The sequence below is a fragment of the Homo sapiens genome, chromosome 8, assembly GCF_000001405.40.
Source record: "Homo sapiens chromosome 8, GRCh38.p14 Primary Assembly".
NCBI classification, from domain to species: Eukaryota; Metazoa; Chordata; class Mammalia; order Primates; family Hominidae; genus Homo; species Homo sapiens.
In genome coordinates this window covers 22,647,699-22,666,083 of record NC_000008.11, presented here as the reverse complement: position 1 = coordinate 22,666,083, position 18,385 = coordinate 22,647,699, and the positions used below count along the sequence as shown (strand labels likewise).

Genomic DNA, 18,385 nt, shown 5'->3' with positions numbered 1-18,385 from the left:
CAAAAAGGAAGGAAATTAGAGGCAGAGCAGGTAAGTGTGAGTAGGAGTTAGAGTGCTGCGTTCAGGTTCTGGCTCAGCCACTCACAGTGCGGCCTGGTCAAGCATTGAGCTGTTCTCTGTCTTAGTTTCTCCATCTGTAGCATGGAGTGGCCATTCCTGCTGACAATTTGCCACCTGAGCCTGCTGTGAAATGAGTGGAGTGATATTTTTCTGACTCTTCCGGGGTCTTCTACCTCTGTCTGCCCTTCACACTTTGGTGTTCCTCATGTTTGATCCTTTTTGTTTCTTTCCTGTTTTCACCCTGTAGTCCCTTGCCATCATCTTCAGGATAGAGGCCCAACTCTGGGCCAGGGCTTCTGAGGCCCTCTGGGCCTGGCTGTCCATCTTCACTCCGTGTGTTCCATCCTCCAAGCTTCTCCTGCTCTCTCGTGCCCATGTGCCTCTGGATAACTGTCCCTTCTGCCTGAAATGTTTCCCCTTCACTCACACCCTGTCCACTAGGCCAGCATCTACTCATCCTTCAAGAGTCAGGCCACGCTTCACCTTCTCTGAGGGTCTTCCCTGAGTGGCCCCTCACACCCTGCCATGCTGCACTGGGTGCCGCTCTTCTGACCTTCATCAGCATCTGTACTCCGCTGGCTGGTTTACTTGTCTGTGAGTTCTTGAGTATGGGGACTGTCTTGTGGTCATTGCTATTCCCTAGCACTGTTCCTGGCAGTCAGGAAGTGTTTATTAAATATATGAATGGGGCCTTTTTTCCCTTTTCCTGACTTGCCTCAGCTCAGGAAAAATGTTAAGATAAAAACTTGCAGAACCTACAAACCACTTCCTAAAATGAAGAGCCTCTGAAAGTACTATTGTTAAATTGACCGACACAAGTGGCTTCCAGGTCAGGCTGCCTGTGATTTCTCCTCCCCACTCCTTCTGATCCTCCACTCCAAAGTGCTTTGCTGGGTTTCTTCTGTACTTCCATAGTGCTTCTCCTGTAGCACTTCTGCATCCTTCTGAGTATCACAGACGTACACCTCCCTTCCACACCAACCCCATGAGAACAGGAGCGACATAGAGCTTCTTCATCTTTTTGTACGCATAGTGGGTATCATGCACATAGTGGGTATCTAACAGGTAATTGTTAAATGAATGGAATATAAAGAAGGTAAACTTCTGGGTCAAACAAAACCATTATTCAGTTTTTTTCTCAGTGAAGTCCTTTCCCCTATGATTACCGTTGCTGTCTCACATGTGTAGAGTGCTTCTAACTTTTCAGATGGCTTTCCCGTCCTTTGTCTGACTTCATGCTTATGTCTGCGCAAGCAGTGCAGTCTTATGATCCCCCTTGGTAACTTACTAGAATTCACTCAGCTAGTACCTGGAAGAACTAGAACTAAAATGTGTCTCCTGAGTATTCTGTCCCCATGATCAGGAATATTAGAAGAGTAGCAGACCATTCCCAAGCTGATTGGATCACGGAGTTTCACTTTGCTAAGGTGTGTTGACACTAGCAGGTTGGTAGTGAATCACAGGGAGTTGACAGTCTTCACACATAAGTGATAGAGGAAGTCCTTGTGTCCTGCAGACCTCTAGGTGTTCTGTAACTGGCTCAGCTTCTTCCACCTATGGGGCCCCTGCCTAAGGCAGCCTCATCACTCATGTCCTCTGTGACTTTGGACACACCAAGCTTTTCTTCCTCTGTGGAGAGCATAGTAATGCCTTGAAGACAGGGGCCCTATAAAATGTCTGTGAGATTCTGTATGTGAGCTTGCTCTTATTTCAGGCGTTTAATGAGAGGAGAAGGATTTCTTCCAGATCTTGGAGCAGTCAGAAAGAGTCAAGTGTCTTGAGTCCCACAGCTACTTAGTCAGAGGTGTTATATGTATTATACTCTTTAAGGAAATCTGTCGGAGTAAGCTTTAGAGTCAGCTGTTAAACCTATTAGAATTGTTTTCCCAAACTCATGATTTTGGTGGCTAATCCATCAAATAGGGCCCAGTATAGTGTGATGCACATACATGGTGCTCAACAAATATTTGTTGATTTAATGCTTGTTCAACATTTATAATGTGCAAAAGTCTGTGCTAAATGTTGAGGAACATTTAAAAGACTTGCATGAGTCGATCTCTATCTTCAGCCGGTGTATGGAAAGTGCTAGGGATTCAAAAGGACAGCCGATCACTAAATGTCAGTATGGCATCATCAAGAAAGACTTGAAGCAGATGTAATTTTAACTGAACCTTGACTTAGCAAATACGTGCTGTTTCAGTGGGAGGGAGAGAAGGATCCAGGTAAGAAGCATGGCATGAAAAAGGTGTGTGGAGTCAGAATGCGTCAAGAGTGTTTGTGCGGACTGTCAGGAGGCCAGCTTGGAGGTGGTAAGTAGTGGTTTGGGTAGAGGCTGCATTGGGGAGAATTGGCACTCCACCTCAGGGCCACGTTATATAGTGCTTTCAGTGCCATGCTGAGGACTTGAAATTGAGCCTAGGCTTTTGGAAATTGAAGGCTTTTGAGCAGGGAAGTGGCATGGCCAAAGCAATGATTTAGTCAGATTATTTTGGCAGTGGCCTGCAGGATAACTCAGAAGAGAAAAAATGGAGCCAAGGATGCTAACTTGGACAATAGTTTCCTTTTTTTTTTTTTTTTTTTTTTAAACAAATCGGGGGGTCTCACTGTTGCCCAGGCTGGAGTGCAGTAGTGCAATTACAGCTCACCACAGTCTCAAACTCCTGGGCCCAGGCAATCCTTCTGCCTTAGCCTCCTGAGTGGCTGGGACTATAAGTGTTAGCCACCACACCTGGACTAGTTTCCACAATTTTTTGAACACAACTCACAGTTAGAAATACCTTTGATATCACAACTCACACACACACACACACACACACTTATACTTGAAATAAAAGTTTGACACAGTATGTGTGCAATGCACTCTGATATTTTCTATTATGTTCTTGTTCATGGTTTTTCGTTTTTTGAGACAGGCTCTTGCCCTGTTGCCCAGGCTGGAGTGCAGTGGTGCCATCTCAGCTCACTGCAACCTCTACTTCCCGGGTTGAAGCGATTCTCGTGCCTCAGCCTCCCAGATAGCTGGGATTACAGGCATGCACCACCATTTTTTAGTAGAGACTGAGTTTCGCTATGTTAGCCAGGCTGGTTTCTAACCTCTGGATTCAAGTAATCCACCCGTCTTGGCCTCCCAAAGTGCTGGGATTACAAGCATGAGCCACCGCGGCCAGCCTTGTTTGTTTTTTTAAAGAATGACCCACCTCAGTTGACTTTTTTTTTCTTTTTTTCTTCCTGAGGTGAGTGCATATGATTTTTTAATTTCATGACTGATTTTGATCTATGTATATAATGGAAGACTGTGTAGCAGTTTAAATGACCTTTGAGTGATAGATGTTCTGCAAAGACCTCAAGTTTGAAAACCATCTGTCTAAGAGTATCATTACAAATACTCAGACGATAAGCTAACACCTTTGACTCCAGCAACTGAAGATAGGGTTACTTGTGTATTTGGTTGTTTCACTGGGTTAATAAAAAATAACAGAAGGGGCAGCTGTAAAGAACACTGGCTGAGTTCTTTATAAGAACTTATTCCATAGATTTGAAAACTGTCAATTGCTTTCCAGAAAAGAAAACCCAAGTGAACAAAAGCTCATGTAAAGATGTTTGGTCCTATTAGTAATCAGGAAAAACAGATTAAACCAACAATGAGATGCTGTTTCACAGCCATCAGACTGGCAGAAATTTTAAAGCCTGACAATGCCAAGTATCTGAGGGTGAGGAATAGTAGGAATTCACATACACTGCAGGAGGGGGTGTATATTGGAGATTTTGGAGTTGGAACAGTGGCTGTCCCCTACCCTAGAGAAACTCCCATACCTCCATGCAGCAGGGGACACATGCCAGGAGTGTGAGGGGCATCGTCATGTGCAGATGCCCAGCCTCTGGAGAATGGGGAAATAAATTGTGATGTCTTTACATGATGATATGTTATGGGCCGGGCGTGTTGGCTCACGCCTGTAATCCCAGCGCTTTGGGAGGCAGAGGCGGGCAGATCAGTTGAGGTCAGGAGTTCAAGACCAGCCTCACCAACATGGTGAAACCCCGTCTCTACTAAAAAATACAAAAATTAGCCGGGCATGGTGGTGGTGCATACCTGTAATCCCCGCTACTCAAGAGGCTGAGGCAGGAGAATCGTTTGAACCTGGGAGGTGGAGATTGCAGTGAGCTGAGATCATGCCACTGCACTCCAGCCTGGGCAACAAAGTGAGACTGTCTCAAAAAAAATGTATATATATGTAGTAGTTAAAATGGGTAAAATAGAGCTGTATGTACCAGTGTGGGCAAATCTCAAGAATGTAATGCTGAATGTAAAAAGCTAGCTTCAGAATGATACATTCAAATAAATAAGAGTGATACACTCAACATTGTAGGCTGGGCACGGTGGCTGACACCTGTAATCCCAACACTCTGGGAGGTCAAGGCAAGCAGATCACTTGAGGTCAGGAGTTCAAGACCAGCCTGGCCAACATGGTGAAACCCCATCTCTACTAAAAATACAAAGATTAGCCAGGCGTGGTGGTGCACGCCTGTAATCCAAGCTACTAGGGAGGCTGAGGCAGGAGAATCACTTCAGCCCAGGAGGCGGAGGTTGCAGTGAGCCAAGATCATGCCACTGCATTCCAGCCTGGGTGATAGAGCGAGACTCCATCTCAAAAAAAAAAAAAAAAAAAAAAAGAATGATACATTCAACATTGTACTATTTATGTAAACATTAGACCTATAAGGCAATACTATATTTTGCATATGGACTTAAACTTATACAGTAAAAGTATGGGAATAGTACTAAATTTAGAATAGTGGTTACTCTAGGATAACAAGGAGAGAAGGAAATGGAATCTCAGGGGCCAGTCGAGGTGGCTCATGCCTATAATCCCAGCACTTTGGGAGGCCAAGGCGGGAGGATCGCTTGAGTCCAGGAGATGGAGACTAACCTGGGGAGCGTAGTGAGACTGTCTCTACAAAAAGAAAATTAAAAATTAGCCAGGGGTAGTGGTGCAAGCCTGTAGTCCCAGCACTCAGCAGGCTGAGGCAGGTGGACTGCTGGAGCCCAGGAATTCAAGGTTGCGGCGAGCTATGATCACACCACTGCACCTCAGCCTGGATACAGAGGGAAACCCTGTCTCAAAAAAACTAAGTTAAAAAAGAAAAGAAAGAAATACAATCTCAGGGTGCGATACTCAGGGAGCCTGAACAGCATCTGTACTGTTTTGTTGCTTAAATAATAATATCTAAAGCAAGCATGGCTTCGTTAGAATTTGACAAAGCCAAGTGGTGGATACATGAGTATTTATTATATATTCCCTGTATTTTTTGTGTATTTACAATATTTCATATTTTTTTAATTTTTAAACCATTGCTGGGGCAGACCTCACTTTCCATAGCAAGAGAACGTTTGCCCGCGCCCCCCGCCCCTGCCCCACGGGATGGGGACGATGTAGGGAGGGGGCCTAGAAGTCAGTTTCCATCCAGCCATCTTCCTTCTACCTCTTGCTTTCTAGGGGCCAAACTTTCAGCAGAGAAGAGGAAAAAGGTAGTGTGAGAGCTCTTTATAATTGCTGATTGGTAAGAGACAGGAGCAAAGGTGAGATTAAAGATGGTACCTCAGAAGCTAAACAGCCGGTCTGGTGCTCTCAGAGTCTAAGCCACTGTCAGCCCATCGGAATGGAGATGAGGCCAGTAGAGGTGCTCTCCTTGCGGAGTCCGCAGGACAAGCCTTTCACCTCCAAATGCAAACCCATTTTCTACCCCTTCTTACCTTACAGACTAGAATGAGAATCGGTGATTACTTGTCTGTCAGATATTAGGATCTTCTTAAGGGGCTGCAAAGAAAATCCAAACTTGCCTCCTTGAGTTGCCTGCCTTCCTCTCTTAGGTGCTCTGTCGGCCTCCACACTTTTGTCAAAATCCTTTCACTATTTGGGGGGAAGTTGCCACTCAAATTTAGGCAGACTTATCACTTGGGCCTGGTGGTGGTGCATCACGGTATGGGACAGCTGTTTGCCCCCAAAACAAAAAAATAATTTCAGGTTTCCTAACCATTCTTGGGGGGTGAGTATACTTAATCTCTGTAACTTCTTACAAGTCACCCCTTCTGGACCTGGTTGGTCGTCGTCATCAAAATACCACTACTACCTTCGCAAAAAAACAGACTGCTTACTGTGTGTCAAGATCTGTTTTAAGCATTAAACTCGTTTAACCTTCATAGCGACCCTAGAAGATGAGTAAATTATTTTCCATCCTATTTTATAGATAAAGAGACGGAGACACAGGAAGGTGAGGTCACTTGCCCAGAGTCTCACAGCTGGTAATAGGCAGAGTGAGGTTTTGAACCCCAGCTGTCTGGCTCCAGGGCCCATCCCCTGATCTACTGCGCTGTTTCTCCTGTGAAGTGCAGGAGTGGACACTTCAAATAAACGGATGTATCAGCAGTGCCTGTGCAGAGTCTGGCAATAGTAGATGCTCAATAAGTGGTTGCTTTGATGAGATGATCGCCCAGCTCTCGTGTGACTTAACGTTGTGTGCTTCATTCTGTCTTTACTTTTCAGAGGTCAGCCTGTGGAGCGGTGGGGAAGGAGGGATCACAGCTGAGCTGGAAGATTGTTCTGGTCCAAGTCACAAACCGCCAAGTCACAGTCATCCCTTTTATTTTTAAACACACACATACCTCCTCGGACTGTTGGCGGGTCGGGGTCAATTTCTGTGTGTTCTGGTTTTGGATCAAGCTAATTTAGAGAAAGGACTGAGGTGGGGCTGGAGGCTGTGGTCATAGGCACTGGAAAGGACTGATTTCCAGCTCAGTTCATGTCCCTCTTTCCTGGGGTCTCCGCCTTGCTCAGGCTGAACTTTCCTTGGCCTTTGGCATTGTGGCCAGCTGGCCCGACACAGAGGATGGCATCCAACCAGCAGCTGTTCTGCCGGACCTAGATGGCTCTCGATAAGCCCTGCCCCGGCTCTGGCTCTCTGTTGTTTCTCTCCCACCGTTAAGGTGGTGGTGGCCTTGTGGGGCCTCAGGCCAGAGCAGGCAGCAACCCAAGGATAGAGTAACAGAAGGCCCCGGGGGAGGGGCTTGTCCTTCCAGCCTGCTGGAGCTGCTGCCTCTCGCCCACCTTCCTGCTCTTGCCGAGACAGTGACTCAGGCCCAGACCACTCACCGGGGAGCCAGGATTTCAGCCACTATCAACCACCACCGCCTACTCTTTGCTCAGCCCTCCCTCCATTCTCACCTCCCTTACCTCCCTCGCCCCCAAAACTGTGGGTCTCTTGCCCAGCTAGAGATAGCAGAAAGATAAGGGGTGGGGCAGACTGAATCACTCCAGGGTTCTTTCCATCCCCAAGCCAGGCCTAGGCTTATCCATGTTTAGTAGGATTCTGGAGGCCAAGCAAAGACCCAGGAAGCAGGTTTAGGGTTCTGGGGTGACCAGGGGATCCCTCCCCAACTGCCATCTGGGCCTGCCTTTTATCTCTGCCTCTGCAGAGGGAGTGAGGAAACAAAAGATGGAGAAACCTAGCAAATTGAAAATGCAAAAGAGCTGTTTTTGTAAATAGACATTACACAAGAGCAGGGGCTTTTTTGGAAAGGTTTTACTGAGACAGACAGAATTAGCCAACTGGCATCATGCTGCTAATAGAGATATTTACTGTTTGAAAAAGTATATTTGTAGCTTTGGAGAACATCCTGTTGACTTTTTCTTTATTATGAAAGAAAATAGAATCTTTCCCCCCTTTGCCCTCCGTACACACAGAACTTTTTTTCTTTTTTGCGGTGGGGCAGTTGGGGGTTGGAGAAGAGGAGGGTTGAAAGAAATGTTTTCTCCATTTTGTTGCTGAGACTAAAATATCTCTTCTCCTGCCCTCTGGTGCTCATATTTATGGAATGGGAAGCAGAACCAATCAAGGACTCCTACTCCAGAGGCAGAGAGCGCAGAACCCTCTTAATTTCTTCCAGAACTCAGAGACGCTCTGGGGAGCAAGCCTTGTCTTCACTCTGGCTCTCTGCCCACGCCCCTGATTCCAAGGGGAGCACTGAGGCAAGTGTGAGGAGGAGGGAGGAGAGTCCCGAAGCCCAGTTGGGCCTCCTGCCCTGGAGCACTGCCAACCCCGGGCTGCTGTGACCTGGCAGTACCAAGGCTGCTGCTCTCAGGCTGTGACACTGTCGCTGTTGCCCCATGCCCTCCAAAGCAGCTGCTTCTCCTAAGGAAGTCCCCTGTGCCTGCAGTGGGAGACCCACGGGGATGAAATGGGGACTCAAGGGAAGAAGAGGTACAAGAGCCTGCTGAAGTGCAGTTGTGTTGCCTTTCCTCTCACTCTCCCTTCCTTGCCACCTTTCACCACTTCCTGCAGGAATACTCCATTTCATCGCAGGGAGAATCTGATCTTTACATCAGGGCATCTGCCCAGTTTTTTGCCGACTTCTCTGGCAGAGTGGGTTCACTTCTGCCATTTGGCAGCCTCGGAATAAACCCAGCAGCCTCTTCTCCTTTCATATATCCTCTTGGGCTCTGTAAAGTATTTTCCCTTGACCCATCGTACTCCAATAACTTCGTCAGGCTTTGCTTTCAAGGCCAAGGGCCCACTCCATTTTCTTGGTCTCCACTGAATGTACTGTTGCTGGACCCCAGCGCTGGTGGGTATTCTTTTTAGGTTTTTGGGGTTTTTTGTTTGTGTTTTGTTTTGTTTTTTGGTTACACAAGGATTGGGAGCCCAAAGACAATGATACTACCTTTCTTTGTTCTTTATGTAGCATTACCTAAGAGTAGCTTTCTTCAGGAACCTTAAGTCAGAGCATGTTATTTTACAGGCCCCTTGGGCAATGCGCTTATTTTAGTCATTCATTTAATTATTCATCCGGTGCTTACTATGTGCACAGAACTAGACTATAAGCTGCATGAGATCATAGAAGGAATCTGCCTCGTTCATCCTGATATCCCTAGAACCTAGCATAGTATTTGGAACAAAGGTGGCCCTTAACAAATGTGTCCTCATTCAGTGAAAAGTTGAAAATAGCACTGTGCCTAGTACAGTACTTAACAGGGGTTGCCAAGAAGCATGACATTCAGTCCTTGCCCTTGAGGTGCTGTGTGTCATAATCAGAAAGCAGGACATTCACACATCAGAGTTAATTAGCCTGTACCCTTTACCAAGCAGAGTTTACTTAAGTAATGAAAGGATGGCTCAATATTAGGAAATATGTTTACACCGTTCAACACAATAATAGGTTATAGGAGAACAAACTGGTCATCTAAATGCATGGTGAAAGGCATTGGTGGAATTCAAAAACCTAATATTTGTACCTTTTAGTGAACTAGGAACAGAAAGATATTTTCTTACTGTTAGGAACGTTCCTGGCTGAAATCAAGAATAGCTGCTTTCATATTTGATAGTGAGGGATCAGATGTAAAGCATTCTTACCAAAGTCGGAAACATTTTCTATAACTTCAAGCTAATGCAATAACATAAGGCAATAAATAGGTGTAAATGTTGGGGAAAAAGATGAATTTTATCATATTTTCATACCCTAAGACTGTCTACCTGGAAAGCCTAATTAGTTATTTTTCTTCTTTTCCAGTTGAATTTCTTAGGCTATATAAATGAAGTATGTAGACATGGTGACTGGTTTCAGAGTAAATGTGCCAGGAAGATAAAATGAAACAGAGAATCCCATTTACAGTATAACCAAAAATATAAAACTTCATGGAATGAACCTAAGACATGTATAGAGCTAAAACTTCACATGTGTTATTTTGGGATCTTAATATTTAACGAAATAAATGTAGAGGAGATGGATATGAAAAAAAAAAAAAAAACCCTTAAGACCAAGGGAGATAAAAAGGCTTGAATGAATGAAAAGAAATATGGCCCTGAATGAGCAAACCAAAAATAGGATCTTCAAAAGTTAATCTATAAATATATTGCACTTCTGGTAATATCCTTATCAGGGGTTTTTAGGTGTGGGGGTGAGAGCACACAGCTAGTGAAATTTATCTTGAATAATTAAAACAGCCAAGAAATTACCTGGAAAAAAATTTTTAATGAGAAGGGATTTGCTTTGCTAAGTATCAGGAACTTTTATACATCTAAATAAATCTGTGTTATTGGCAAAAGGGTAGATTACTCTGTGGTATGGAATAGTAGATGCATTTAATGCTGATAAAATAACTTTTCAAAGGTGGAATTTTTAAAAACTATGTTAAAACAATGGACTAGTCATACACTCAAACTCTAAATGCAGCAAAGATTTAAATATAAAAAATAAACCACTAAAATTCACGTGGAAATGCAAGGGACACACAATAGTCAAAATGATCTTGACAAAGAACAAAGCTGGAGAACTCACACTCCCCAGTCTTAATACTACAAAGCTACAGTAATGAAGGTTGTGTGGTGCTGTTATCAAGATGGACATGTAGATGAATGGAATAGAATTGAAATAAACCCTTACATATATGGACAATTGATTTGTAACAAAGATGCCAGAACAGTTCAGCGGAAAAAGAATAATCTTCAACAAACAGTGCTGGGACAAATGGATAGCCACTTGCCAAGGAATGAAGTTGGACCCCTACCTCACACCATATTTAAAAATTAACTCAAAATGGATCAATGACCTAAATGTAAGAGCTAAACTATAAAACTCTTAGAAGAAAAGACAAGAGTAAATCTTCATGACCTTGGATTTGTCAAAGGATTCTTACATATGACACCAAAAGCATGAACAACAAAAGAAAAAACAGATAAATTGGACTTCATCAAAATTTAAAACTTTCTGCTTCAAAGGACACCATTAAGAAAGTGGAAACCCAGCCCATGGATGAGAGAAAATATTTCTGATTATGGGCTAATACCCAGAATATATAAAGAACTCTTACAACTCAACAACAATAATAATAAAAGTTTTAGAATGAGCAAAGGATTTGAATAGATGTTTCTCCAAAGATATACAAATGAACACATGAAAAGACGCTTAACGTCATTAGTCATTAGAGAAATGCACATCAGAAATACTACCTCATACCCACTAGGATGGCTAAAATGAAAAAGACAGTGTTGGCAAGGATGTGGAGAAATTGGAACCCTTATATACCACTGGTGGGAATGTAAAATGATACAATTACTTTGGAAAACAGTCTGGCACATCCTCAAAAGGTTAAACATAGAGTGACCATATGACCCAGCAGTTTTGCTCCTAGATATATGCCCAAGAGAAGTAACATATCCACACAAAATCTTGAACATAAATGTTTGTCACAGCATTCATTAATACCCAAAAAGGGAAAACAACCCAATTGTCCATCAAATGATAAGTGGATAAACAAAATATAAATCCATACACTGAACTAGTATTCAGTGATTAAAAAAATAAAAGGATGAAGTACTGATATATGCTATGACATGGATGACCTTCAAAAACATTTTGCTAAGTGAAGGAGGCTGACACAAAAGGCCACATACAAATATAATTCTACTTCTGTGCAATGTCCAGAAAAGGCAAATCCATAAAGAAGGCAAAGTAATGGTTGCCAGGGCTGGAGGAGGGGAGTTGTTTGCTAATAGGTGTGGGGTTTCTTTTTGGTGTGATGAAAATGTTCTGAAATTAGATAGCAGTGATTTTTGCACAATTCTGGGAATATACTAAAAACCCCAAATTGTACACTTTAAAAGGGTGAATGTTATGGTATGTTATTTAAAAATAAACCAGATTCTGAGTAAAGATGACAGATTGAATACATACATCTAATTTATCTCCCTCACAAATCCTACAAAAAGCACAGTAAAGCAGTTTTTTAAGGCATAAATCCATAGTTCAGGGAGAATAGAAGAGACATCAACAACAAAATTTGGGAATTAGGGTGCAGTTACATGAGGTAACTGACTTAGTTCCAAGAAAGTCAAGTCCCAAACTGGCGTTTGAGAAAACCAAGAGCCATCCCACCTTACATCCCAGAATTCTCAAAGGTTTGGGAGTTGGTACTAAGTACCTCTAGAAGTTAGGTGAAGCCAAGGGCTGAGATCAGGGTGATTGGTTGAAAACTATGAATAGTTTAGAGCCCTAACATCTCCCTAACTGCTTATCACTGGGAGACTGTCCCCACCCCACCCCACCCTAGCAGAAGAATGAAGAGTCCTACACCCCAACCCCCACCTCCAAAGAATTCTGTACCAGGGGACACAAAGGTGGATTTAAGGTGTGAAACTTACAAAGCTTCAGCCTCAGGGTCCCAACTTAAATGGACCTTTCCCAAGACCCTGGAAGGAACCCTAGGCATGCCTATGTTGTGGTAAACTGAAACATAAAGTGTTTACATTGCAGCGAGTTAGGAAAACCTCTGTCTTCATTCCTGCTTTTACTTCTTCATACTATCCCTCATGTCAGGCAATCCTGGGGTAGCCCAGGCTTTTTTGGGGGATGGAACTAAGGAAGGGTGAATTGGGAGTATACTGTTTTAACTGTACGTTGTAAAGACATCTTTGGAAAATGTTAGTAAAACAAGAAATCACAGGCTCCTGAGTTGGAAATGTGTAACGGTTACCTTTTGTGGTCAATTTTAAATTTACTTAAAAACTAGAGAGAAAATTGGATTTAAAAATAATGGAACACAAAAATGATAAGGTGAGTGCTTAAATATGTAGAAATCATTCTGAAATATAGCAAAGCATAACAAAACATTTTCCAATTGTACCAAAAGTGAGTAATCCATTAAGAGAACGAGATCCATTTTAAATAGGAGTGATGATTGTTAGAAAACTCAGTTAATGAAGAAGAGGAGCAAATCAGCGGAACACACTGATAAAACATTTAAATTTCTGGCGGATTTAACATGAAAAACATAACAAAGATAACAAAATTCAAAATACGCCCTCCTTCAAAGACAGACATTAATGACAAACTGGTCACTGTCATTAATTCAAAGAACACTTAAGATTAGTCACTGTACAAGAAACCTTGAAATGTGCCCTGACATCTTAGTTTATTTGCAGAGGAAACATGAGATTTTTCTAAATTTTACAACAATCCTAAAATTTGGATATTACCAGTAAGCTGAAAAAGGCTCTTCTAAACCATCAGTAGTAGAAAAATTTCGAACAACCATACCAGAGGAAAGAGGGAATTACCTTTTTTACTCTAAGAAAATGATGCTACCAACTCTGCATCACATGAAGAGGCAACCAAACACTAAGCAGCCCAAAAATGTAGGGAGACAAAGATAGAGGTGTGTTAGGCAGATGATTCATAAAAATACTAGATTATTTCCTGATGTTTGTGTCATTTATTAGCTTTTAAAACTTCGCATTTGTTTTGCTCTTTTCTCTGCCTAAATATTCACTTTCATGCCTATTTGTATATTTGTAATTTTCTTGAAATGGGGCATACAAAATTGTATAAACTTCAAACCCGCCTCTGAGAGGGCAGCCAGCACAGCTGAGGGTGGGACTGCCCTAGTGAAGTCGGGAGGATGAAGTGAACGCACACCCTCAGAGTGCCAAGGCACACCCCTTCCCCTCCCCACCACACATGCGCACATGCACACATGTGTACACATACATGCACACGCAGGCTCTTCCATTGCCGAGTTCCCAGAATGGCAGAAGGTTGGAAGAATCTTCTCTAAGGAATTTTACCTGCCCAAGAGAAAAGAGTAGAAAGATAGTGACATCAGGGAGTTCCCCACAAAACTGTTCAGCCAGTTTGCAGATTGTCCTACCCAGTAGATAAACATGGTTCGTGTGCTCAGAGCTTCTTGTCAGCTCTTTTTGTCTCCCAGTCATAGATGAGAGTAGGCAACCAAGAATTACCACACATCCAAGGAAAGCACTTAGTATGGAAAATAAAGACTAAACAAAAAGAAAAAAAGCAACTTGGAGGAAAACTGAAACTATAAAGGGAAGAAGAAACTTTTTAATTAAAGCTGTTGTTAAGATCCTCAGAGAGATAAGGCATCCATGAAATAAAAATAAGATACCATTTTAAAAGGACATCCTGAAAATTTAAAAGAGCTCTTAGAAATTAAAAATCTGATAGCAGAAATGAAAAAAAAAAAAAACTTGGTAGAAGCGTTAGAAGATGAAATTGAGAAACAGAAATTAGAGGACCAGCCAAGGAGGGTCAGCATCGAAATTGTAAGTTTCAGAAGTAAGAAACAGAAAACAAGAAATCAACAACAAAATTTTTAAAATCTCAGAACCGAAGATTATAAATTGCCAAATTGAAACAGTCCTGTGAGTACCCACCACAGTGGATGAAAATAGACCCACATTGTTGTAAAATTATACAACACCGTGACAAACATATATTCCTATAAGATTGTGTAAGAAAATAAAAAACAGGTTATATACAAAGGATGGGAATCAGAGTGGCTTCAGACTTTCCCACAGCAGCAGTACTGGGAAGTTAGAAGACAGGGGAGCAATGCCTTTGAAATTCTGGCAGAAATTATGTCCAGCCTTTAATTCTATGCCCAAATTAGCCTGCAGGTAGAAGAACAAGGTTTTAGGATGTGCAGTCTCAAAAGTGACCTCCCACATACTTTGTTCCCACCAAAATAAGGGGTAAATGAAGAAAGAGGAGGATCAGGGAAAAATCATGAAAGAGAAGTCAAAGGAATCCCAGAAAGATTGGTGAAGGGACAGCTGGTGCTGAGAGCCTCACGGCTGGGGAGCAGGCAGCCAGTCCAGGTTGGAGCGAGGCAGCAGTTGCAGGGCAGACTGTCCGGAAGATGCAAAGGAGAGAACACCTGATAACGATGAATGTGTTGAAACCAGAGTTAGACCACAGATTGAATTGGGGATAAGTACGTAGACAAGCAAATGAAAGAAAAGTGACAATTACCAATTTTAGGGAAAGTTAAAAAAAAAGTATGCATGTTATTTATGTATTACTGCTGCGTGACACATTATCCCACAACTTAGTGGCTGGAAACAAATAGTTTCTGTTGGTCAGGAATTTGGGAGTGGCATAGCTGGAGCTTTGACTTGGAAACTCTTACGAGTTTGTGACTCAGTACATCGGCTACAACTGCTATGCCCTAAAGCTTTGACTGAGGCTGAACAATCTGCTGGCTCCCAAGGGCAGGATGGAAGAAAACTCACAATATCCTCCTAATAGTTTACTTAATATTGAGCTAACCAAGTTATTATACTGTAACTATATTGAGAAGAAGAGCTGCAAGTGTGGCTTCATGAAATAGCGATGGGTACCCAAAAATATTTTGTTTGTTTAATTTTAAATCTTCATCTTCCGAAGTAAAAAGTCAATAGCTAAAGTAGATTTTTAGTGCCTAAAAACCTAACGATCTAGAGGTAGCAGTATAAGCATTTATCTTTAGATGTGCAAAGGTAAATACTAGAAACTCAGTTGAGTTGAAAGTGGTTGTTTCTGGCAAATGAGATTAGGGAGTCCTGGGAACTAACGTTTTACTTAAGAAATCTTGTTGCCTTATTAGACTGTGCACACTATAACTTTGATACTAATGATAGAATTTAGATTAACAAAAGGAAGCCATAAAAGTAATAAAGTAAATATAGGTAAATAGTTGCAAGTTGATGGAGTGGAGGAAGCAGGTCATCCTCAGTTTGATACCAAAAGAAGAACTCACAAAAGGCGGATTTAGTAGATTTGATTTCACACTAATCAAAAGCTTCTGTACATTAAACACAAGCATGTACAAAAGTGAAAGGCAAACACTAATCCAAGAAAAAAATCCTGATATACAAACCAAAGTGTGGTTAGTAAAATGTAAACTGTTTCAATCTTTTCAAAAATGTTAAATGTTTCAATCTGTCTCTAGGGCAGTTTGTCAAAATGTGTCAAAGCCTTGAACACAGTATACAGAATTGATCCTGTATGACTCTTAGTGCACACCAAGATTTACCTATTGGAGTTTTTGTTCATAATAGAAGAAAAATTTGAAACGGTTGCAATGACCAGCAGTAAGTGATGAGGTTACAGAAATAAAACGAGTGGTACATTTCCATTATATACCTGAACCACTCATTTTACTTCCGTAGCTCTTAAAAATCAGGAGAGTGAAAATGATATATTCTCATATAAAACCATTCATGATATTTCTTTTACTTATTAATTTAAAAATTATATAAAATTTACATATGCACATGCACACACACATGTACACACTGTGATTCAGGATATTACTGTTAATTTTTTCCTTTGGGGGTGTGTGTGTGTGTGTGTGTGTGTGTGTGTGTGTGTGTGTGTGTGTTGTCCTTTGCGTTTTTCTATCTCTTCCAGGTTTTTAACACTGATCAGGTGCTATTTTTGTAGTCAAGAAAAAAACAAGGGTGTTTTTTTGTTTGTTTGTTTTTGTTTTTGTTTTTGGTTTATTTGAAAGAAAAATGTGGAAAGTGCAAAGAAGAAAACAGTAATCATATTCTCACCACCCAGAATTAGCCACTACCAACATTTGGCATATTTGCTTCAGTTTTTCTTACTGTAAATTTAAAAAATATAAATAGCAACACTGAAACATTAACCTTGGCCATCTTTTAGATGCGGAATCGTGGCTGGGTTTTTCCCTCTCCTTTTCCTCCCTTATACCCCCACCCACCCCATCCCCTTTTATTTCTCAAGTGTTCTGCAATGAGCACGTTTTTCTGTAATAGTTGTTTTAAAGTTACTGTTTCTCGTGTGAATACTTTACTTTTTAAGGAGATAAACTGTAATTAACTGTAAAGGGTAGAATTTTTTAAATGCCAAATAAGTCTTTGACGTTTAGAAGAAGGTGAGAAGTTTTCCTGGGAGCAGAGAAAGCATTCCATATAGGTGGGGTAGCCATTTGTCCTGGTTGCCCTGGGCAGTCCAAGTTGTCCTGATGACGTGTACTCCAAAATGTCCCAGTTTGGGACAGGAAATTATAAGGAGTCTAGATTTGGGGGATTAATGAACAGCCACTTGGCTGAATCATGGCAGTTGTACTGAGTGAATAGGAAAAGTAAGGTTGAGAACATATTACAGAAGCACATTGAATACTAATGTAAGTTCCTCCACTGATTCTAGGGCTGAGGCAGGAAATGTACAAGATGCACTTGGTACATGTCGTAGAGCTGGAAAGTAAGGAAATACACACACACACTTACATACATACATACATACATACATACATACATACATACATACATACGTTGATGTGGATATGTCAAAGGGACACAGAAGCCAACTGAAAGAGCTGCCAGTGGTGAAAGCTGGAACAGTTTGAGCATCAAAATAATGTATTAGATTATAACCCAAAATATAAGATAAATATCTGTGAGTCCATACTGATATTGAATGGTTGAATAAATAAGAAATAGGATTCTGCATGATGGCTTCCTCCCAAGGAGTGCAGTAGGGAAAGGGAGAAGGGAGAGTAACTTCACAGTAGGAAGCTGAGAAAGATGACCTCAGCCTGGTGATCAAGGTTCACATCAGCAGGGTAAGGCATGTTGACATCGTGGACCCTGGGTATGATGTGGTGAGGATGGCTCTTCTGCTCTGTGATCTTCTACCCCAAAAGCCATAACTCCAGTCTAGTCAGGAGAAAAGCATCAGACAAGTCCAAGTTGGCATTCTGTAAAATGCCTGACCAGCACTTAAAACTGGCATGGTCATCAAAAGCAGGGAGAGATTTAGGAACTGTCACAGCCAAGCGGAGCCTCGGGGCACATAGTGACTGAAGGTGACGTGGGGACCTGGGTGGGATGCTGGAACTGAGAAAGGACATGGGGAAAACTGAGGAGGTCTGAAGAAAGGATAGTCTTGACTCTCACTGTTGGTTCATTGTTTGTGACCAATGTACCACACCAATATCAGATGTTAATAAAAGGGGAAACTGAGGGTGGGCAACATAGGAATTATGTACTTCCTTCACAATTTTTCTTTTCCTTTTTTTTTTTTTTTTTTGAGAGACGGAGTCTCACTCTGTCGCGCAGGCTGGAGTGTAGTGGCGCAATCTCGGCTCACTGCAAGCTCTGCCTCCCAGGCTCATGCCATTCTCCTGCCTCAGCCTCCTGAGTAGCTGGGACTACAGGTGCCCGCCACCATGCCCAGCTAATTTTTTTTTTTTGTATTTTTTATAGTAGAGACGGCGTTTCACCGTGTTAGCCAGGATGGTCTCGATCTCCCGACCTCGTGATTCACCCGCCTCGGCCTCCCAAAGTGCTGGGATTACAGGTGTGAGCCACCACGCCCGGCCTCACAGTTTTTCTTTAAAACTTTTTAAATGTGAAGGATTTTTTTAAAGTGTTCTAATAGGGCTTTTGAGCAGGTGAGTTGAAAAATAATCAGAACAGTATGATAGGTCTCTGTGATCATCAGTAACTGTGGTGAAAATACAAGGAA

General features: G+C 42.1%; 1 protein-coding gene across 4 annotated transcripts in view, besides 3 other annotated features; it reads left to right on the top strand.

The window, feature by feature from the left end:
* BIN3 (bridging integrator 3) overlaps positions 1–18,385 on the top strand; it is a 48,704-nt gene that overhangs the window by 3,038 nt on the left and 27,281 nt on the right. The gene's annotated exons all lie outside the window — the stretch shown is intronic.
* Positions 6,938–7,532: an enhancer, noted in NCBI's record as "H3K27ac-H3K4me1 hESC enhancer chr8:22516065-22516659 (GRCh37/hg19 assembly coordinates)". NCBI's record gives its function as "activates a minimal SCP1, AML or CMV promoter by ChIP-STARR-seq in primed H9 embryonic stem cells {active_cell/tissue: H9 hESC(primed)}" and the evidence as "EXISTENCE:reporter gene assay evidence [ECO:0000049][PMID:30033119]".
* Positions 7,192–7,241: an enhancer, noted in NCBI's record as "active region_27083". NCBI's record gives its function as "activates an Ori minimal core promoter by ATAC-STARR-seq in GM12878 lymphoblastoid cells {active_cell/tissue: GM12878}" and the evidence as "EXISTENCE:reporter gene assay evidence [ECO:0000049][PMID:35858748]".
* Positions 7,533–8,127: an enhancer, noted in NCBI's record as "H3K27ac-H3K4me1 hESC enhancer chr8:22515470-22516064 (GRCh37/hg19 assembly coordinates)". NCBI's record gives its function as "activates a minimal SCP1, AML or CMV promoter by ChIP-STARR-seq in primed H9 embryonic stem cells {active_cell/tissue: H9 hESC(primed)}" and the evidence as "EXISTENCE:reporter gene assay evidence [ECO:0000049][PMID:30033119]".